The sequence below is a fragment of the Homo sapiens genome, chromosome 4 (genome assembly GCF_000001405.40).
Source record: "Homo sapiens chromosome 4, GRCh38.p14 Primary Assembly".
Lineage (NCBI taxonomy): Eukaryota > Metazoa > Chordata > Mammalia > Primates > Hominidae > Homo > Homo sapiens.
Window position 1 is genome coordinate 101182687 of NC_000004.12, and position 24562 is coordinate 101207248.

Genomic DNA, 24562 nt, shown 5'->3' on the forward strand with positions numbered 1-24562 from the left:
CTAGATTTTGTGTTTGACATGGTTTAGCTGTATGCCCATCCAAATCTCATAGTGAATTCCGACGTGTTGTGGGAGGGACCAGGTGGGAGATAATTGAATCATGGCAGTAGGGCTTTCTCATGCTGGTCTCATGATAATGAGTTAAGTCTCACGAGATCTGATGGTTTTAAAAATGGGAGATTTCCTGCACAAGCTCTCTCTTTGCCTGCTGCCATCCATGTAAAATGTGACTTGCTCCTCCTTGCTTTCCACCACGATTGTGAGGCCTTCCCATCCATGTGGAACTGTAAGTCCATTAAACCTCTTTCTTTTGTAAATTGCCCAGTCTCTGGTATGTCTTTATTAGCAGCATGAAAACAAACTAATACAGTATTAGAATGCAGGTGAAAAAATTTATTAAAAAGACCCAGCTATAACAATAGCTTAAATGTGATAAAAGCTTATTTCTTTAGATATAAGCAATTTGAGGTAACATGGCTTGTACACAATGTTGGGACCCAGTGGCCCTTCTGTCTTGTTGCTCTGCCATACCTGACATATGACCTCTGTCCCATGGTTAGAATGGCATCTTCAGCTCCTGCCATCCTAAGAGTATTGGCAAGAAGGGGAAAGGGAAGCAAGGAAGACATTAAAATTTTTAGTTGCATGATCTGAAAGTAACACATGCTACTTTTCCTCATACCGCACTGACAAAAACTTAGTGACTCAGCCATATATAGTGATAGAGGAAACTAAGAAATTTAGTCTTCAGCTGAGTGGCCATGTGTACCACTTAGAAAGAATAGAAACTAGACGAATGAAGGTTGAGATAAAATAGTGTATGATCAACTCAATCCTACAGAATAGTGTGTTACAATGTCCTCTAATGAAAACTATCAAAATCCTTTGCCCTGTTTAACTCTATTTGATATCTCAAAATCAAAAATATTTGTGATTAAAAATATATGAAAGCAATTTTAGAAAAAAATTTTGATTCTCAAAGTTACATGCTATAAAATGGGCACTGTGTCACCATTATGAACAATGCATCTCATCCCTTTTCTTGATCCAAGTTTTTTTATTTGATGTTGTGTGAAAGACAGACTGGAAGCTGTTGACTTTCTCTATCAAGGCTATTGCACTGCTTTGCTTTTCCACATTCTTGCTTCAATAACTCATCGCTCAACCCTACCTGATTCATCATAAATTATGATACACTTACCCTATGAACCTTGTGCCACACTGCTTTGAGAATCACTACTATGAGGAATGGCTAGTTACAGAGGCTTTCTAACTGTAAGTAGCAAATAGTGCATACATTCTACAGGCCCAAGCTCACAATTATGGGAAGACAAAAGTAGCTAGGTCAGAAAAAAGAGAAGTGACTCCCATAGACTTCCACTGGTCTGTAATTTTATGTCCTTTGACTCAACAGGGAAATGGATCAAAGACACAGAGCTAACACCACAGGATCAACTGAAAGAGAAAGAAATAGGTAGAGAATGGAACCTGACTATGCTCGTTAGTTGTGATACAGGCAGTTAAAGCCACAGAAGAATCTAACAAGGTGATGCTTGTAAGTTGAAGGAAGAAACTATCCAGGTCCTGAGATGGTATACTGTGCTGATTGAGAGCTTGAGGCCCAGAATCAGTTCCCTGCACTTGATTCCTGCGGCTGCATTTACTAAGGCTCTTATTGCCAAGCTTCAGCTTCTTTATCTATAACTGTGCTAATATGGTAGCTACTAGCCACAAGTGGCAATTGAGCACATGAAATATAGTCAGACTGAAATGTGTCTTAAGTATAAAATAAACATCAGAAGTAAAAGACTTAGTAAAAAAAAGAGGGCAAAATATGTTATTAACAATTTTATATTGATTACATGTTGAAATGAAAATATTTTGGAAAGCTGAAGTTATGAAATACATTATTAAAAATAATTTCACCTGTTTCTTTTAAAATTTGTAAGTGTCTCTTAGAAAATTTAAAATTATACATGTAGCTCACACTATGTATCTACTAGACAGATTTCCTTCTCTAACTTTGGGAATAGCAACAGTACCTACACCTCACAAGATTGCTCAACAGAGCATATAAAACCTTTAGTATATTGTTAGGCATGTAGTAAAGGTCCAAAGAATGCTAATTACCATTCTTTAGCACTTGGAGTTAGAAGGGAAGGGCTAAACTAGGTGCTTTATTCCAGGGTGAGGCAAGGGCTTATGGCTGCACACTGCCGCATCAAGCAGGAATCAGTCACTGGGGGAGCTGCGGCAGTCCCACAGAAATGCAAGAAGGAGCAGGAGGCAAAAAATTGCAAGCTATATGCCTTAGTTAAGCCAAAAGGGAGGTCCAAAATGTCTTTTTAAATGGTAGTCAAATGCCATCATGAAATTTTACTTGGTCCTATGCTAAAGTCAGTTGTTTAAATTGTCTCCTTAGATAGCCCAAATATATAAAATAATTCAGCACTTGCATGCCAAAATTCTTCTAACTAGGAAAAAAAAAAAGTAAAATTTCAGACAAGATTTGCGAGGTAATAATATTTTGTTATTTTTATGTGTTATACAATAAATACTATTTGATGAGAATTTTGAAGAAAGAGGTGGAAGGAAGAAGAAGAAAATAATTCTGGGGTTCATCCTTCACTGGAGGACCAACAGGAACTGAGGTCTTATGTAAATTATCTGAATTTCATTGAGGGGCATTAGAAGGATTTCAAGATTGTTTTAAAATGATTCCAATATCTCTAACACAGTACTTGAAAGCAACTTCTAAAGCTAAACTTTTGAAACATGGTCATGTGGGGGAAGACAAAAGAAAATAAAAACTATGTATTCACTTTAAAAATATTAACTAGCTCTTCAAACATTCTAATTTTTACTTCACCTCACTAACTTCACTACCTGTAGCATGCCTTCTTTACAGGTTGCATGATGTTGAGGGAATAATTTGATGCTTATAAACATGGGTGTCAATTAGAAACCTGTTTCAAAGCATTAGTGGAGAATATTAGGAGAAATTCCTATTCAAGAGTATTTTAATCAATGGTTTATGGCCACCTTCCCTGCCTCATAAGACACTGGGCTCTGGAACCAGACTGCCTGGCCTTGAGTAATATTTTAATGGAAGGGTCATGGCCTTAGAACCAAGAACTCCAGGCTGTGGACAGCCTAAGTCTATGACCCTGGGCAAGCTCTGTAAGCCTTTCTATGTCTCAATCTTCTCATCTATTACATGGATATCCAAAGAACACCTATCTCCCAGAGTTACTGCTGAGTTCATTCATTGCTTAAAACAGAAGCTGAAATATTAGCTCCTATCTAAAAATGGTTTAAGTTTCTTTATAGTGTACAAAAGAATAAAGGCGTATTTGAGGCCAATCAATATTATATTGTTTTGACGCATGATCCTTTAACTTACAATTTCTTCATTTCCCCAACTGAAATGATATTTGCCTAGTGTTTTCTTATTAGCATGTTGAAACATACTAAGAAATTGTTATAAAGACAGCCTGAGCTTTCTAGAAACCCTAGAAAGCTTTGACAAAGAGGTATAGAACGAAATACCCCCAAATAGTTTAGGGTTGCCAATGAGAGGGAGAAAAACTCACTGAAAATCCCTGCAACATTTTTCTGATTTAAATGTCAGAAAGCAATCTAAAGTTGCATATTATTTGGGAAATGTAAAATCCAAATAATGTACACTTTGTTGGTAGTTCCATGAACTGTTAAAAAGTCAATTACCCAAACATGAAATGAAAATGTATTTACATCCAAATGATTCTCAATCATCAAATATAAAGAAATTATTACTTTGACATGGGACTCTTTAGCAAAGCCCACCCTTGCATATATTTGGCTATTTACTTCTAGTTTTCTAATATATAATAGCTCATATTTCCCATTTTTTATTTTTCATTTTCTTCTTTCTAATTGATATACTGATAGCGCAAAATATGTTCATGAAAACAAAATTTATTTTCTTTCGAATTAAAACTCATTTGGAATTTAGAAAAGGTAAGTAGGGGACAGCTGTGGTTAGGAGGAACTATCTGCACACTCTGTCACAGCACAGCCCTCTCAGTCTTTACTTACATCCACAAAAGGGGAACTGCAAGCTATATTATCCAAATTAATGGAGTTTTTATAAGGTGTCTATACTTCTAATCACCAAAAACCATACACTAGAATCAACAGTTGATGTAACAGATACATAACAACAATACCGGTCACAATAGTAACAGATACAGCAATAACAACAAAAATTTACTACTCATTGGGCATATCTGTGCTGTGGTTGCAGCGTTTCACTCTTTCTGAGTGACAGGCATGACACTAACACCACTGAATAGATAGAAAGCTGAGATTTAAAGAGGTGAATATCCTGCTGAGTGGTACAAAGGTAGAAAGTGGCAGACACAAAATGCTAATTTAGAGATTCACAATTTTAATGTGGACACCATGCTGGATAGGGAGAAAATAAAGTTACTGCTGCACTGTCATTAGGTGATACACCTCAGGTGACCTGCACAGCAGAGATTAAATCACACTTCCTATTATCACCTCTTCTTATTTCTGTCATTTTTTTTTTAAGATAAACTGACTGAACCAGAAGTTTGAAAATAAACTGAGAATTCTAAACAGGCTACAGAGGAGGAAAAAAGTCTGTAAGATGGCTCATTGCCACCACGTCCTTAATAAACTAAGCTAACCAGCCACAAATTATTTTCTAAGGAGCTAAAATCTTCTCATGTATTTTTAACATTTCCTCAATTCAGAGTCTCAAGTGGAATGGATATTTTATATCAATAATACAGGCAATTTAATGTCTAGCTTTCACCTACCTTTGATATATATTTAATAAATATTACCAGCTTATCTCATGAAGAAGGCAAAGCAGTGGTTGAGATTAAGCTAAGGTCCACCTTTGAAGGAGTTGGCCTTTAATGTTTAAAACATAAGAAAGAGAATTTCAAATGAATAATGTGTTTCATGCTTGATTATCTGAGAATCTCTTATTCGCCAAATGGTATCCAAATATCCACTCAAACTTTACCTTTTAAAATTAAATGAAAAATATGTAACTAGAATTTTAAAGAGGATAATGAATTTCTACAAATGTCTGTGAGCAAAGCTGAGTTCTGAAACTTGCAGCCTGATTATAATGCTTTGTAAGAAAGAATCAGATTATGCTTATTAACAAAGACCAAAGCAAACATGCATATTACTTCGAGAAAACGGAAAGGGAAACACAAACGATCCTTTGTTTGAAATGAAAACAAATGTCTGCATGTCATTTCAAAAATATTCTTCATAAGCAATATAGGATGTATGATTCTGAGAGCAATTAAAAGAACTAGGTGTATCAAATGCATACCACCAGATGGCATCTTAAATTAGATAGCACATTCAGAGATCGTGAGAGTTAATAACTGCATTTCTGGGAATCAGGTTCATGAATTCCAAGTATATCTTTTCGTATTAAAATATCTGACACAAATCATAAAATCCAGAGAAAACTAACAATAATACTATCTTGAATATGACAAAAATATATGAATCTGAAAAGAAAAGCAGTGAAATAAAATGGTGATCTTGACATCTATTTATATGAAGATAAATAAGTCATTAAAAATAGAGGCACAAGGCAAAAGAAAACTTGGTTAATCATTTGAGGCTTCCCTTATTTCTATCTAAAATTTTTCTTCCTACTACTCTTCATATTAAAATACAATGTTGTTTCATAAAAATTTCTGAAAAACACTTGATTATCTCATGGATAAGATTTTTTTTCTGTCATTGTATAATCAGTATAATCCTACTTTTTCAAAATACATTTTGCTATAAATATTATTTTCATATGATGAACGCGATCTAAAAATGTAACTTCTTAAGACTTTGTTATCTCTTTTAGATATGGATTTACATATATGTATATAGTTTGCTACATAGACCTTTTAGGGTTTAATATGAGGAAAAGAACATTGGGCTCTTTTGAAGGCTTTTCCCTACCTCCTCAACAGACTGACTTAGGTATCAAACCATTCCACAGACTTTCATGTTACTTCATAAGGCAATGCTCAGTGATGCTGCTGGCAAGGCAGACAAAATACAGGAGAAGAATAGCTATCTGACCTCCAGGTCAAACACAAAGCCAGGACTGAACTGCCTGAAGGCCTTCTCTCAGGTAATATATTTTCCATTAGCAAGGTGTGGACCTAAAAGCATTTAGTTTATATTTTTAATAATATTACACTTTATATACCAAGACAGTAACTTTACAAAATAGTAAACTAGCTGCATGAAAAATTTATATTCTTTTTATTTTATAAATCCACTAAACCACAGATTCTTCTGTAAGAAACAACTTCCAAACAGACTTGGGTGTTCGTCAACTATCTCATGTGTCTGTGTCCAAAACGCTCCACTAAGAAGACAGAAATCAATAAAATCAACAAACTCAGGAAAACAGAACAGACTAAAAAGATAACTGCTATGTAAATGGTTACACTAACACAAAGAAACACACACATATATAAACACATACTCTAGAGGTTTTCGTATATTTCCATTATATTATTATCATAATTTACTATGTACAAATCAGCCGTGCAGTTATACTAAAATTATTTTTAAATAGAATAATATCCACAAAACCATAATGCATGTTTATGTCCTCAGATGTTCAACATTTAGTAGGATAACAGTATGAAACAAAAATATTATTCAGGACAATACAGTTAATGTCATGTTACATATGGTTACTTCCAGATTTAATGACTTCATAAACCTGTAACATTAACCTCCACCCCCAAATAAAACAGAAATAGACATAGTTGAACTGCTTGGGATTTAATCCCAATTCTGGCACTTCGTAGCTGGGTAACCATAGTAAGATAGACAATTTCACTGAGCTTTAGTTTCCTCATTTGTAGAATGGAACTGATAACAGTACTTTTTTCACAGGGTTATGTGAACACTAAGAGTTAAAAAGTACAGTGTTTATGATAGTGAACGGCAAAAAAAAAAAAAAAAACAAAACCAAAAGAACCTAACAAGTGTTAGCTTTAAAACAAAAACAACTCAGTTTATCCCCCAAAAAACTATAAAAAATTATGATCTACTGTCACCATAGTGTCATACACAAAAAGAAAGCATGTTCGCTAAAATGAAAATGAAATTTTCACTCTGGATCAGTGAAAATTTTGTCATGGATCGGAACCAGTCAGTGACTGGTATTTCAGACTGTTCATTATAGTCCATACATGTTACTGACTCAGAAAGAGAATAAAATCAATGAAGTCTGAAATTATTAGGAACACTTCAGTGAGAAGATGGAATATGGATAAGATTGGAAACATGAGTATAAAAATGAATATAGCATAGATGAGATTGAAAATATGAGTATTACCTGGGTAGACCAAGGAAAACATCTACAGTTTTTTCCTTAAAGTACCTAAGAAAATATTCCTTCCTTATCTGGAGGCATTTCAGTATTACCTGAAACACCACTTCTCTTAAAGCCACGATAGTATTGATTTTAATATATTTTAGCCTTCTCCAAAAGAATTAGAGCATTATTACTGCCAGTGATTGTTTTCAAATTTTAAGAATAATAATTCTGGGGATGTTTACCTTCCTGTGAAAACAACAGGCATTGCTTTACCAAAGGTGCTTAAATATGTCATTATTTGTGAAAAGTACCAATTCATGAGAACATAAAAGGGATGTTAAAAGGGATATGTATACTGTGTCTTAAAGTAAAACAGTTATTCATGTAACCATGACGTAATTGTAATGACTGTCAAATGTTTCCCATAGATAGCGCTACATGTTTATTGATGTTAATAGAGTATTACTGATTCGTACACACAAATACTGAATTACTATGGTTCAGCTATTCTTAATAGAATACTGTATTCATTACCACTCAGCTCACTGATACCTGATTTTGAGCCCCTGGCTTACATTTTTTGTTTGATACACTGTTCCAGTAGCAACTTTCTATAGTAAACTCCCCAAGAGCTTGTAAAGAAAAGAACTACGAATGTTTTTTTCTGGGAAAAACTACACACATAAACTCTATGTCCCAAATATGCCAAGCATTCTGTTTCATCCTGCCTGCTTGTATTATAGAAACACACTTTTTATTTAAAATATAATAAATTATAATCAACAGTCAAAATAATTTATTTCTTCTACTTCTTGAGGACCCTTCGCATCAGTATTCTTTGTATGTTTTCTTCAGTAATGAGCAGGAAAACATTGTAGTCACGGGAACAAAAGCCCAAGACTTTAACCCTACAATGCAGAAGTAGAATAGTGTAGTATAATAGCTAAGCATAGGATATGTAGATAAATGCCTGTTTAAGGCAAGGTCTTCAGCTTACCCGCTATGAGACTTCAGTTTAGGTTCTTAAACCAATGAATCCCACAGTGTGGTCCCAGATCCAGAGCATCATCATTATCTGGGAACTCAGATACTCAAATTCTCAGGCCCTACTCCAGACCTACTAAATCAGAAACTCTGGAGGCAGAACTCAGCAATCTGTATTTTGTGAAGCCCTACAGGTGATTCTGATCTATGGTCAAGTTTGGAAACACTGACTCCACCTGTCTCCCTTTTCACATTTGTAAAAAGCGTTTCCAAGAACAACCTTGCAAGACCAGAGGTGAACAGATCAAAGGACTTTGGCTCTCATGCAGTCACCTTTTATAATATAATCACTTTTTTAACCAAGGGCTGAAATTAAGGAGTATATGGACATCAAAATGATGTGTGGCTGCCACAGGCTGGGACTGAAATGTGCTGACTTGCCAGCAGTGGGCTGGGTACCAAAATAGGTCTCTGGCTGCAGGACAGGCCCTAAAGATTTGGCCACTAAAATCACAAGTGGGCAAAATGCCCCAGACAAAATATTTTATCTCCATATAAACTAAGGCCACATTGCTTCATAGTGACAAATGACACTATGAGGAGAATAAACACTGATCTTTTAGGTCCCAGAAGACACCAGATTCCTATCCCTGCTTAACTCTCCTCAGAGTGCAGGCAAGGGGAATTCTCCTAATTGACGTCAGCTGCTGTAAGGGAAGGACTGCCATGACCTTAAACTTGGCCACCAGTCCACTCTCACATCCAGGAACAAAGCCAGAGGGTTCTCCTGGCAACTGCCTGACATGCTAAATGGCAGGCCCCGGCACTGAGGGAATCCTCTGCTGACCCAGGGACAAATCCCCCACTGCAGGAAACAGGCAAACCAGAGAGATTAGCAGTTTGCCCAGCTGATGCTGGCCTATCCCCTCTGCCCAGAGAGCAGAACATGAGTTCTAAATCATTCTATTCAAAAAACCTAAGCTCCCGGTCTGCTTTTGCATTACAAATGAGTGGAATGTTCTCTGCTAAGTGAAAGGAAAACAGGAAAATATGAGAACTTCAGGGAGAAATGTAAATTGGATCCCTGCACAAATCATCTTACTGTTTTCAAGAAGACTTTAAGAGATATTAACGTTTTAAATACAAACTAATCAGATGTTTTAAAATCAACTTGAACACTCATTTTATAAAAGGTCTTGTAATAAAAATAGGATTAAATCCCCCTACCCTGCCATGGCTTCCTTGAACAAGTATGAAAGTTTCCTAATCACCCCACTCTTAAGAATTCCTCCCCACCTCTTCCTACTCATCTCATCCAGGACACTATTCCAGCCACAAACATGATTATGTAACTCTCCTGCTCAAAGATCCCTTCAACCCCCATTCCCTATAGAATGGTATCAGAGTAAGTGCTGGTTATAGAGATTAATATTTAACCCTAACCTTCCAGCCTCAGTCTCATCCTCCCATCTCCACCCCACCTCTCATACCCTTCTGAAACCCTGCCTTCTCACAGCAAACCTCAAAGAACATAACTAGCCACTTTACAAAAAATACCAGTGGCTTCCATGTGCTGTTATCTCTGCTCACATCATCCTTCCCCATCTTTTTCACATAGTACAATTGTACTTATCATACATGATACAATTCAATATCATGTAATCTGTCAATACTTTCTTGGCTCTCTGCATTCCTTTTGCTGAGTTCTCACACCAGTTTTTAGGTACCTCCATTACAGTTCTTAAAAAACTTATAGTAATTATCTCTTTATGTGTCTGACTCCCTTACCTAGACCTTGGATATTCTATGTCTCATATGTTTTATCATCCATAGCCATAACTTTCAATAAGTTCTCAATGCATATTCACAACAGGTAGGACCCCAGCTATTTAATAGTTTCTTTTACTCAAAGATGAAATGTAATAATCAAGGAGCACTGTCAAGGAAATACTCATTTAGAAGATAGGAACACATTTTGGTTTTAAATTAGCTATATCCACTTGGATACTTCCTAATTTGCTTGAATACACCTAGGTTATATCCTTTAATTTAGTCAACAATTTAATGTACTTATGCTTGGTTAGATATCTGTTTCCATTTTTTCCTGTTATATTCTGAGCCCTTGGAGGGCAAAGACCAGGTCTTATTCACATGTATGTGATATATACCACCTGTACCAGGTAAATGTATAATAAACATTTCATTAAATTGGATCACCAAAATGTGTTGCCTCACTGATTTGGGGCCACAGTTTTTCAACGTTCCATTTGTGTGTTTGCAAGAATACAAAGATAAGTTCAACTACATTTTTTGGGAAAAAAATGTCAAAGAGGAAAAATACTTTTCTTTACAAAATGTCTGCAACACAGAAATAGTCTTCAAATTAAAAATCTGAAACAGCTACCAGTCTAGTCAGCCATGTTAGCTGAAAGAAAAAAAAAAACAGAACTGGCCTCATGGCCCCCTTGTCTGGATAAACTTCATCTCTACTCCTATGAAGATGGTTTGCTCACCTATCTAAATCCACACGCTAAATCCGCTTTGTGAGGGCAAGTCCACACTCCTTTACTCCCTCTCCAGACGGACAGATGCAGGGAGTCAGGGGACTAGGCGGCTTCCTGGTCCTTCTGACTTCTCCAAAATAAAACATAATGAATTTTTAGGGGAAAAAAATCCTAAATGAACCCAAACCTTTCATTGTCTTATGAACACTTGAAGAGAAAGTCTTTGTTCATTTTAACTTTAAAAAATGCTAAAAGAATGAAGGAATATCTAGATTTCCAATAACTAGGACATTAATTCCTCAGTTTTTCTTAAATGGGGGCAAACCATGGCAAATGTTAGTACAACTCTTCTCTAAACATCTGAGACTGAAACATTTTTATTAATAAAAAGTAGGAGGGAAGGACTAGAGGAAAATATGGTAGTGGCTTTTTAATTATAAAATATTGATCACTTCTTTTGAGAGTTTACATATCTACTACGCTTATTTCTGAATTCCACAAAAGAAGTTATCGGTCAGTAACTTACAGAGTAAGTCTCTGGCTTGACTTACTCACCACTGGTCCAATATTGGGTTAATGTTCCTCGAGCCAATTCCTCCTCTACCTGACCCTAAACATAGTTAATACTTCTGAATTACAAATAAGAAAAAATAGCATTGCCAGACAAAAATAAAATGTAAATAATGTCAATCTCTCTAGAATGGGAATCATTCAAGATATTTTGATAAAGAAAGGTGTAGTCTGATACTCAAAAGAGCTTATCTCTTTCTTAACAGTCAAATTCAAATATTCATTTGAAGACCAATAATTTTAAAAGAAATTAGCAATCACTAATATATATGAAATACTTTTAGATGCCCCCTTTATATCAAAAAGAACACTATTCTATGTCTAAATCAGAATAATATTTAAGAGGAAAATATTTTTAGCTTCTTCAAAAATGAAAACCTGTAAATTAAGCAAACTCCATAAAGAGTAGATCCAAAGTCTCTGGTATTAGAAGCTGTATACTATACAATTTTTTTTTCTTTTTTTGAGATGGAGTCTCACTCTGTCACCCAGGCTGGAGTGCAGTGGCACAGTCTCAGCTCACTGCACCCTCTACCTCCTGGGTTCAAGAGATTCTCCTGCCTCAGCCATCGAAGTAGCTGGGATTATAGGTGCCCACCAGCACACCCAGCTAATTTTTGTATTTTTAGTAGAGATGGAATTTTACTATGTTGGCCAGGCTGGTCTCAAACTCCTGATCTCAAGTAATCCACCCACCTCGGCCTCCCAAAGTGCTGGGATTATAAGAGTTAGCCACCGCGTCCAGCCCATACAAAATTTTTTGACAATATTTAATTTTTATGGCCTAAGAGAAGCATACTTACACAAAATATGTATCTGACCATAAGAAATAACAAAACTAAAACACGAAAAATAAAATAAAAAATAAAAAGGCCCGGAGTGGTGGCTTATGCCTGTAATCCCAGCACTTTGGGAGGCTGAGGCGGGCAGATCACCTGAGGTCAGGAGTTCAAGAGCAGCCTGGCCAACGTGGTGAAACACCATCTCTACAAAAATAGAAAAATTAGCCAGGCATGATGGCACCTATAATCCCAGCTACTCGGGAGGTGGAGGCAGGAGAATTGCTTGAACCCAGGAGGTGGAGGATGCAGTGAGCCGAGATTGCACCATTGCACTCCAGCCTGGTGACAAGAGTGAAACTTCATCTCAAAAAAAAAAAAAAAAGATATTTTGTAGGGACAAAATGCTACGGGCAAAAGAGAAAAAAATGTGTCCTTCTTCCGAAAGTTCAGTGCTTCTCAAACTTTAATGTGCATCAGAATCACACAGAGGGCTGGATAAGACACAGATTGTTGGGTCTCACCCCAGGTACTGTGATTCAGTAGGCTGGAGTGGGGCCTAAGAATGCATATTTTAACAAGTTTCAAATGGTGATGATGATGATACTATCAGTCTGGGGATCACACTTTGAAAACCACTGTTTTAACTTATACCCTTACTCAACCATTGTGGAAGTCTCGGGATACTTTGTCTAATCTTTCCCAATGAATATCCTGTGTGCCACTTAGTATTTCTACTTAAAAACAATATCACTTCTTAAAGTATCACTTCAGAAATCATCACCATCTCTAAGTTGCATTCCACTTTTTAGAGCATTGCAATCTTACAGATATTTAACACATGAAAATATGTGTATATATGTATAATATACTTACTACTCTAATGTATAGATTCAACAGTAAAAGATTATGATGGGTAAGGTATTTGAAGACTCACTGGTAACTAGGACTTTTGATTTCATGCTATAAACAACAAAATGTGTATACAAGTGGGCAACCTCCCTCCTCAGGACTTACCAGTGACTGGCGCATCAATATCCAGCAAATTTTTTTCCTGTCGAAGAATTGATGCACCCTCTGTTATTATTCTCAATGCAACACTCTCTTCCAGCCTTCCCTCCTTCATAAGATGCGCCTTTAAGATATCCACACGAGGTTTTCCATCATTATCAAACACTTCTTTTGCTGTAAGCCGGTGACTTGGAGGAAATGGAACAGCTGAAAGAAGAAAGGTCTAATTATTACATTAGCCAAAACTCAACAACAAACAATGCAATAATAACCACCAAATATCCATCCTCATCACAAACCAACTAATATAATATTTTTAGAGTGGCTGAATTAAAATATGATCAAGGGCTATCTATCAAAAATTAAGAACTGCATCCTTCCTTTGATTCTAGATATAATGTGATTGCTTAAACAAAATTGATAGTTCTTGTTCATCCAGTACTATCTCTTGCATCTATAATATCCTGATTAAGTTAAAAAGAAAAGGAATGAAAAGCAGTTTTCAGTTCAACAATAATCAACTCTGTGAAAGAAAATAGTTCCTATACATCCAACCATAACCAACTTGTGCAAAGATGGGTCTCCACTAGAAAACAGGCTCCTCTACTGGGATTAGAGGAGTGGGAAAAGGTCTACCCAACCAGATTTGCTGCTCTAACTAAAGTCACATCTGAGATAACTAATCTACTCACTGTATAAGAAAACAGCAGGAATCTGAAAGCAAAAAGGCAAAAGTGCACTGACTACTGATAAGGAAATCAGGATTTGCAGGTGAGTGTGTATGCTCTCACTGAAGGGACCTCCTTAAAAGTGAAAGATCAGGATGTCAGGGACGAGATACAGGTATTTTTAAAAATGACACAGTGACAAAGTCCAATTATTGCTCAGGCTTGGAAGCAATCATTCTCTCTTCCACTCACCCGCATCTTCTTAACAGCAAGAAGCTCTCTTGTAGCTAATGCCTTCCTCTACATTTGTGAGTACATTCATTCACTCATTCCGCCAGAGGACATTCACTAAACTCCTCTAGCTTGCCCTGCATCCAAAGGTCTATGGTCAGAGATGGTACCACAAAGGTTAAATTTGCAATAAATGGCCAATAAGCTATTTAAAAACTCATTATTTCTCTGTTTCACATGATGGTTCATTCACTGGACAACTAGAAGTATCTGGCAAGCAGCATAAACATCATCCCATGTATCTTTCATGTGCCGTGTGCATTATGAAACAGACATACAGCATCTCCACTGGATGACTCCTCTCTCAGGAGAAGCACTTGATGTTAACGGAATAAACTTGGCCCTCTCCCTTCCTAAAAGTGTCTCTCAAAGAAGCAAGACTTACAGGAGACCTATGCCAAAAAATTGTGTTAATCTAATGGCATAGATTTGTAATCCCGAGTTAAATTATAACTAACAGAAAAGAAAAACTGGGAAATGAACCTGTACAGATGGATGCAAGCATGATTTTCTGGACAATCCAGCCACATCTATTTCACTATGCTGTCATATTGAAGCAGTCTTGGCAGATTTGGTGGCTGAGCAGGAGGCTTTTGTGGTCAGACAAACCTGGGTGCGAACCTTGCACTCTGCACACTCACCAGCTTATGACCTTGAGCAGGTTAAATAACCTTCTTCGGCTCCAGTTACCTCACCTGTGAAGTGAGGATTACATCTATCTGAGGATTGTTATACTAACTAGAGTAAATAGTAACAGTAGTAGCTAATATTTATAGAGTATTTATTTTATGCCAGGCATCGTTTAGGTAATAAAATCAGAAACAACGATAAAACTGTAAGATGAGTAAGGCATACATACATGTGTTTATATATAAACTTATTTAGCCCCCATAACATTACTGTACAGGAGAAACCTGAGGCTCAAAAATATTAAGCACCTTGCCCAAGATAATTATCTAGTGATTTATGTGTATAACTTGGTGAGTTTAAACCCCAGCAGTCTGATGCCAGAATACCTGTAACAAATAAACTACATTACTTCCCAGAAAGTACTCGATAGGGCTTAGTAAGTAAAAATGATTAATAAATCACTTCTTAGAATTGAAATTCTAATACTGAGAGATATTTATTTCTCACAAATACTCCTTTTATTTTCCAAAAGTTATTTTGAGTAGCTTATAGTACAATAGATACATAATACAAAAACAAAAGACAAAATGTATAATGCCAAAGAATAGTAAGTAATAAAAGAAATCTGAAGATTAAACAAGGAGGGGAGAAAAAGAGGAAATTAGGTCATTAAATTTGAGGCATTTGGGGGTTATTCTATTTTTTTTCCTCTGCTCTCCCTGCTTTTCCTCGCTTGACTGATAGAGTATGCTTGTTAGGAAAACATGTAGATGTTTTTCAACAGCCACATTTCTTTATGCAGGTCTTTATGTATGTTTTGAGATTAGAAAATATCTTACCTGGCAACTCCCCCAAATTCCCCAGGCTGCAGACCATGAGTCAAGATATGGGCTGGGGGCTAGAAAGGGGTAAACTTCAAAAGGATGCTTGTGGTAAGGGCAAGAGCTGAATTTTTAAAAAATGATTTTCCAAGGTGTTTTAGGCAACAGTGAAGGTTTAAGTGGCTCTGCATAACTGTCAGGCAAGAATCACAGGAGCACAGAAGGGAAGGAGGCTAATATATTGTCAGGCAGATAAAAGCAGTGGGTCTCTGCCACACATGCACTTGCTGGCCTGATTAAACTTAAGATAGATCACAGAATTAAATCTGAAAGTGCCAAAGCATTTACGAAGGTGAGAGGCAACAGGAGAGCACCCCAGGGAGTGCCTCACCTTCATGAATTAGTCTTTCTCCAAGTCCCTAGACTCCATCCAAGGCCAAGATCACTGCAATAACAGATGCTCCACCCTCCACTGCAGATCTTTTACCTTCCAGTAATTGCTAATCCTAAGGTAACTGGCTAAGGTAAAGACACCTGCTCTGAGATATTGGCGCTGGTTCCAAATAAACAGGGGGGACAAAGGAAAGGAAAAAGGCCAATCAGAGGGCTCTATTTCCAATTGGATGGAAGGGATCCTGATGAGACGGGGCCCTTTACCAGTTAAACAGATGGCAAAGCCTGCAGGGAACCAAGATGAGCAGTAATGATGCCAAAGACTGAACACAGAGATGCCGCCAGCCAGTGAAAAGTTTTCTAGGACAAAAAATAAGACTGGGCTAATATTTGTGTATTTGTGCACCTTTTGGCTTCATAAAAAGCATACCAGCCTTACAAAGGTCACATTTATTTGCTTTCTCTATTCACCTAGAATCCTGCATGAAGACCTGTGCCAAATACTGAGCAAAAACTATTTAGACCAAAGAATCCAATCAGCTTGGAAAACATTTATTTAATTAATTCATTGTGAAAGTTGCTACGCTTAATACAACAAAATTGGATTTCCCCTTCCTTCCTTTGCTTTGAGTCTTACAACAAGTTGCTTTCATTGATACATGAGCAGGCCAGGACTAGAGAAATTACGTTTGTGCACATTAGTAAAAATTCAGAAATAGCTGTTGATATTTGGGCTGGCTCTTTCCAAAACAATTTTTTTTGTAACTGCCTGTAAGCACAGAATATAGTGCTAAGACTTCTTAGAAGCATCCTAAAAATAGATAGAAACCTTCTCAGCTTTCTCTACTTCACAATTCCCACTCAATGCCACTTTTTTCCTCAAATTAATAAAACAGCAAAGTAGATAAAATCTGGGACATGTAAGTCCTTGACTGACTCCTAACAGAAAACATCACAGAAGGCTTTAAAGGCAAACAACATATTGAGCTAGGATTATGTTCTCATGTCATTGACTGTGGAAATCCGGCAGAGACTGATTTTCAAGGGTCAATGACATGAAATTGTTTCTTTTTCTATCTGCTGTTTCCAGCAGAGAGTTTATCTATCTGATACGGAGAAAGGTTACTAGTCTACCTATGAACCAAACTCATATGCTTCCCATATTGGCATCTATATAACTATTATTAAAGCTGTTGTCAGTTATACATTTACCAGAGAGAAACACATTTCAAGTCACAAAAACCCTGCAGCCAGAGTAATCCTAGCCCTCATTCTGGCTGACTATGGGAACTACATCTCAGAAAGATCCAGGGATCACTTTCTGAGTTTGAGGGTAGGTTAATTTTAGACCACAAACATGTGTTCAGTAGCATAAGTGATCCACTATCACTCTGGGATAGTTCCAGGTATCTAGGATTTCTGCTTCTCAAATCTGAGTCACTTAAGCCACTACTGAAGGGATTCCACTATTTAATAGGAAACATCTGAGGGTCATTGCCATGGTGACACCTTGACTGGAAGATGGTCCGTGAAAATACTAGTGGGATATGTAACTTTTTAAAATACTGTATCAAGCCTTCTAAATCCAGTCAATTTGCAAAGACATTGCATCTGTCATGATTGAATCACTGGTGTGGAGACTGTTTGAGGGAAAGAATTAAAATGGCATTTTCTGTGCCTTTACTTATATGGTATCAATCAGTAGATCTCAATCTGGACTTCACATTCATGTAACCTGGGATGTATAAAAATATGCCAATGCATATTTTTAAGTATCAGAAACAGGCTACCTACTGCCTCACCTCTTCCTGGAGTAGTCCTATAAATGCTGACAAAAAAGATTCAAGAGAATATTTAGCCTAGTGATCTTTTGAGCCTATATTTTCCTCCTTTTTTTCCCCCCTCAAACAAAATTATGCCAGGAAACATAAGTATATCCGAAGGAGAAAGGGATTAAAGCAGTGTGCCTCCTTTCTCCTCGATGATGGCTGCTAAGGAGTGCTTACACAATCCTGGTGCTTTCTGGAGCAAAACTAGAAAACTCCCAATCAAGACTGACCCTCTCATACTAAATAAAAGGAAGTGAAGTCCAGAGAGAGGATGAGTGAATCATCCAACGTCAAAGGATTAGTCACTAGCTAGCCAAACTAACACTAAGGTCTCCTGATTTCGATTCCAGCACTTTACCCTCTATATTTACAAAATATTGTACTGACTAGTCACATATGGCTTTTGACTACTCAAAAAATAGCTACTCCAAACTGAGATATGCTGCAAATCCACAGTTAGCACTGTATTTAGAAGACTTGATACAGTATTTTAAAAAGTTAAATATAACATTCATATTTTAATATTGATTTTATGTTGAAATAATAATATTTAGAACATATTGGGCTAAATAAAATTTGTTACTAAAATTAATTCCAACTATTTCTTTTTACTTTTAAAAAATATGTCTACTAGAACATTTAAAATTGCTTATCTAGCTTTCTTTTACTGGACAGTGGTATTCTAGACCCTGCATCCTTCTAAGTAAATGAGAACAAGGTGAGTGGAAATTAAATTTCTTAGCCTTTCTTCTTTCCCAACTTTGGTTTAATTTCTACAAAACCTCAACCTATTTCAAAACTGGTTGCACACTGAGAATTGCTTTTTTAAAAGATGATGCCCATGCCCTATGTCTAGAGATTCTGATTTAACTGGTTTAGGGTAGGGCCAGGGCATTGGCCTATTTTTACCTAATCCCAGGTTACACAAATATGAATTTCAGATTGAGATCCACTGATCCATACCATAAGTAAACGCATACAAAATGCTGGGCACTTTAATTTTCCCTCTTAACAAGCTCCACACCAGTCAATCAACCACAACAGATGCAATGTCTTCGCAAGTCCAGACACATTTATTTCATCCCTCTCTGGAATCAGGACATGTACAGGAACAGCTCTTGTCCCATATTTCATGTGGCTACTGTGTGAACAAGGACTGTCAAAGATACTTATGTCAGCACATGTTAAGAGAACAGCTTAAGCATATCACATGTCAGACACAGCTTAAAACACTTTCTGGCCTGACCTCCTTAGATTGGAACACCATCTATTCCCTTGTGGACATTTGTGTATGTCACAGTCCACCATGCTAATCAAACTATATCAATTAATCAATCAACCAGCAGCACCTATTAGGCACCAACTATGCACTGTATCCCATGCTAGGCAGTGAGAGGAGCAGGAAGAAATGGGCCACAGATAACAAACATAAGCCAACCCAAGCTCTGAAGAGCTTACCAGGTGGTATAATTATTAGTTTTTGCTTGAGATAGTTGGCAAAGTGTTAAACTGCAAAACTAAAGAACAAGTTTAAAGATGATGAGAAAAAAATATATAAGTAGTAAGAAAAAATTGTGTCTCTCTATCCTAAGGTTATGTCTGAATTCTTGGAAACTCTTTGATCCAGTTGCAGATTTCTCTTATTTAAAGTATATTATAAATATTTAATTTTTTAGATGACTCCAGGAGATGAAGTTGTTTTTAACTTATGAAAAGTAGAATATGTCTATTGTAAAACATATGCCAGTTGAAGTATAAAAAGTAGCTCCACCACCAAAATACGTGAATTCTGATTCTACTTCTGAACAAAGAGTAAAGAGATATGTAAGTACTAAGGAGTTTTCACTGAATTTTATTTGGGTTCTAATATTGAGCAATTAGGTTTAACTTATATTCTCCTAGATTAAAAAAAAGTATATCAGTATGGGGGATATGTGTTTATTTATGCACAGAATGGATATTCTGGATGCAAAGATACACAAAACATGCTGTCTGGGAGAGAGAGCTAAAAATTAACCACAGCTAGCCCCTAAGAACTGTAAGAACATATTTACTAGGGTTCTACTTACGCTACTCCTTCAGACACTCATCACTTGCGTGTTTGAAAGTCTTTCACTTTTATTATAGATATTAATTCCCTTCAAATAAAAATACATATGGCCATCTCAAGTATGGTTAAATATTAGACTTGTAAACAGAAATATCCAGTTACAATTAAAATTTTTAAAAATGATTTTTTCAAAGATCTATAAATAAAAACACAACTTAGTAATTTACTGGGTTTTTTTCCTGCTGCTATGATGACTTCTTCTATCCTTGTCAGAAACCTCCTTACTCACCTCCTCTAAATACTACTATACCAGTCCTGAGCCTTCATATGTATTCAGTTGTTAGATACAGTATGTGTCTTGATCATTTTGCTAGCAGATTGAATACCTCATTTGAATGCTCACTGAATGTTCACATAAAAATATAGCAAAATAGTATCTTACATAACATACCAATGTGTTAAAGGGCATTATGGTACTCAAAGCACTTATTGAAATAAGCATTCTTCTTTTTTCTCAGGCTTACAGAATATATATTATACCCAGGACTTTTTGAGATTAAATCTGAAATGTGCTACAAGCAATTATTTAATAAAGATCAGACTAATTAAATGAATTATTCCTCAGCCGGGTGCGGTGGCTCACGCTGGTAATCCCAACACTTTGCGAGGCCGAGGTGGGCGGATCACGAGGTCAAGAGATCGAGACCATCCTGGCCAATATGGTAAAACCCTGTCTCTACTGAAAATACAAAAATTAGCTGGGTGTGGTGGCACATGCCTGCAGTCCCAGCTACTCAGGAGGCTAAGGCAGGAGAACCACCTGAACCCGGGAGGCGGAGGCTGCAGTGAGCCGAGTTCACACCACAGCACTCCAGCCTGGGCGACAGAGCAAGACTCCATCTCAAAAAAACAAACAAACAAACAAAATTATTCTTCAACTATAAGGTATTAATAATTAATTAGAGAAAATAAGTACCTGAGCAGGACAGAGCCTCTTTTATTATCTGAATTTCAAAATAGTTTTTAAATGTTTATGTATATATATTTAAATATACTTATTTATGTATATCTATTCTTTATCCTTCCCATGTACAGATTTTCTCATGCTCCTTCCACCACATATTCTTGAGTCTAAGGATTCAAGGACACAGAAATGAGTGACAGTCCACAACTTCCTCTGCATGCAGTCTTGAGAAGTTCTATCACAACACTACTTTAATTTTTGATATTTTGGTTACTTCATTACAATTGCAAATGGCTTATATAATGAATTATGTAATAATGATTCAACACTGAAGATTATTTGAAAAAAGTTATTTTAATGGTTTCAAAATATTTCAGCATTATTGATAAGTTTAAATAAAAGCTGATTTTTAAAAATTTATTATTAATTTTTTAGACAGGGTCTCCCTCTATTGCCCATGCTGGAGGGCAGTGGTGCAAACACAGCTCACTGCAGCCTCAACCTCCTGAGCTCAAGCAATCCTCCCACCTCAGTCAACCTCCTGAGCTCAACCAATCCTCCCACCTCAGTCTCCTGAGTAGCTGGGACCACAGGTGCATGCCACCACACCTGACTAATTTTTTTAATTTTTTGTAGAGATAAGGTCTCATTATGTTACCTAGGCTTGTCTTAAACTCCTAGGCTCAAGCAATCCTCCTGCCTTAGCCTCCCAAAGTGCTGGGATTATTGGCATGAGCCACCACACCTGGCCCTGATTTTTTTAATGTTGTTCAAAATTTAAAAGTTATACACACAAGTAGGCCGGGCTCAGTGGCTCACGCCTGTAATCCCAGCACTTTGGGAGGCCCAAGCGGGCGGATCACGAGGTCAGGAGATCAAGACCATCCTGGCTAACACGGTGAAACCCCATCTCTACTAAAAATACAAAAAATTAGCAGGGCGTGGTGGCAGGCGCCTGTAGTCCCAGCTACTCTGGAGGCTGAGGCAGGAGAATGGCGCAAACCTGGGAAGCGGAGCATGTAGTGAGCCCAGATGGCACTACTGCACTCCAGCTTGGGCGACAGAGCAGGACTCCATCTCAAAAAAAAAAAAAAAAAAAAAAAAGTTATACACACAAGTCCAGTGATTGACACATGGACAATGCCAATCACAAATTATTGCATACATGGGCATGATAAAAGCAAAATTATATTTACTGATTTTGAAATATATGCTACTGAATGTTTAGATTAAACTTAGAATTATAAATATTAAATGTCTTAATTTATATGTTTAAGTCAAATACTTAAAAAATTTAAATATATAATTGAAGAATTGTTGTTTTATACAAGTCTACTCTACAATGTTTTTTAAATTTCTTCAAAAATATATATATATTCAGGTACACCATGAGGTACCCCAACTATCTTGGATCTCCATACTAGATGAAATTATTACAACAATATTTTCAGCAAATGATATTTACACTAATCCCCAGAATAGCAAACTAAAGAAATGCATGAAATCCTCCTCACTGGGATGAATTTAAAGAGAGAGGCTTTTTATTTATACATTTATTTTTTGGCCTTGAACATTTACTCTCTTCTCCAGAGAAAAATGCCATAGGAGAATAAGAAAATCAAGAAACAAACAAGAATAGATACTTTAAGACTAGACGAATTTATTTCTCAAGTGAGCCAGTCCCTTTAAACATGATAATTATTCCTTAGAAATGAGGAGTACCCAGGGATTCTGAAACTTTATTTAATCCAGGTACATTTTTAAAAATTTATTTATTTATTTATAATTAAGCTCTGGGGTACATGAATCCAGGTACATTTTACCACTCAGAAATCCTCAACTCAACAGCCTAAGTAAGACATGAAATATAAGGAAGGACTTTAGCTATTGAGTTGAACTACTCGACAGAAGTTCTTTAATCACTATAAATTTTAGAAACCTTTGTATTAATAAACCTTACAAAACATAGTACTTGCCTTCTTAGTCCTCAATCCTAAACTGGTAAGTTGATAGGAAAAAAAAAATCTATTCCCACACATAACTTGTTCCTTTTACCTTCTTCATTCAACTCTATGGGCCAACACATTTTCCATGCCCACATGCCCACCTACCATCCCCATCCTCTGTGGTTAAAACACCTATAGGCATCAAAATCATTTTATTTAATGAATTGACTTTCTCTTCTTTCAAAGGGTCTTAATAAAATGGCAAACATATGTCCCAAATGATACCAAATAATGTAAGTCTTAAGTGACAATTTAAGAATGTTAACCATTTTTGCATGTAAAAGGTGATCCATTAAAAAATAATAAATCCAGCATACAGCATCTTGTATCTGTGACCACAGTGAAGCAAAGATTGAAATATTTTGCCTGACAGTCACCCTCCAGAGAGCCAAGGGCAGGAGCTAAATTCCCAGGTTTGCATATAATTCCCACCTGCTCTGGCTCAATATGCCCTACTCGGGTAGGCTCTAGAGCAGGCTGCAGCAAAACATCAGGCCCTCTGGGTCTTTCCACGTTTCAGTAATGCTTACACTGTTTGCTTCCTTCTGATGACCAGATCTGTTCTCATCCACAGTCTGCGGTTCACCATTTCTAAGAACCACTTACTCATCTGAATAACACAGAATCATGCAGGAAGTTCCAATTCTCTGCACCTCTAATGTTCACTCCCCAAATCATAATCTTCACACATCTATTTAAAAATTGGAATGTCTTAATGACTACCACCTACAATAATATTCTCTCAAATTTCATTTTCAATTGTTTCATTTATCTTTAAAGTGAACTTGTCAATTTTGGTTTAAAAATCAAACATGCATTTTTTAATCCAGCAAATGGAAAATGAACAATTTTATAATAAAGCTACAACAAACTGCATTCCTTTCCTCAAAAAAGAACCACTCTTGGGAGATAATTTGCATCCATACGTAAGGTAAATTTTGTGCATAAAAGAAACTTTCAAGTAATTAAGGAAAGAGATTGCTGGAATTATAATGCCAGTTGCAAATTTACAGGTAACATCAAATCTCACTCCAACCAATGAGTCAATCAATGATCACTACTCAAAAAACAGAATAATTAAGTACAAGGATTAACAATCAAGTCCCATTGAGTGTCTAGTCCAGTACTCTGGCATTTGATATGTGTTTTTGAGTCAATGTAAGAAAGGATTGTCTTTTCCCCATCTCACTCACAATTTATTTAATACTTCTGTGGTACTAGAAGCAGTCTAAGAAGACAGAATAGAAAATAAAAATGCCTTGTTCAGATCTAAAAGTATATAATTATAAAAATGATAGTCAATAGCCAAAACAACAGAACACTGAAACCTTCAGTTAGTAAATGTAAATGTCTTTTAAGTAGCCATTAGAATAAAGGTACCATGGATGCCACATGGTGTGGGGGAAGCTGGCGGCCCATATCAAAGAGTAGACAGACAGATGTGATCAAAAGTGAGCAACAGATAGAAAACTGAAAAGGGACAAGAAAAAAAAATTGCAAACATTTTGAAAAACTAAATGATTTTCATCGCATATGTGAATGCAGGGTCACAAATAAATCTGTTGTTATTTATGATGCAAAATTATCCCTGTAACAATAAAAATAATGTTACATCAGTACAACAGTGCCCCACTGCTAACATCCTAAAACACTATCACATGGGATTTCAGAAAGCAGTTCAAATATT

General features: G+C 36.4%; 1 protein-coding gene across 3 annotated transcripts in view, besides 1 other annotated feature; it reads right to left on the reverse strand.

Moving 5' to 3' along the window:
• The window catches only part of PPP3CA (protein phosphatase 3 catalytic subunit alpha), a 324109-nt gene that overhangs the window by 159269 nt on the left and 140278 nt on the right, over positions 1 to 24562 (reverse strand). For all 3 annotated transcript variants that reach the window (NM_001130692.2, NM_001130691.2, NM_000944.5), the window contains exon 2: positions 13230 to 13430. In NM_001130692.2, coding sequence (NP_001124164.1) covers positions 13230 to 13430 — 201 coding nt within the window. The remainder of the gene's footprint in view (positions 1 to 13229; positions 13431 to 24562) is intronic.
• Positions 9106 to 9400: a silencer, noted in NCBI's record as "tiled region #422; K562 Repressive non-DNase unmatched - State 24:Quies". NCBI's record gives its function as "represses a minimal TATA promoter and a strong SV40 promoter by Sharpr-MPRA in K562 cells {active_cell/tissue: K562}" and the evidence as "EXISTENCE:reporter gene assay evidence [ECO:0000049][PMID:27701403]".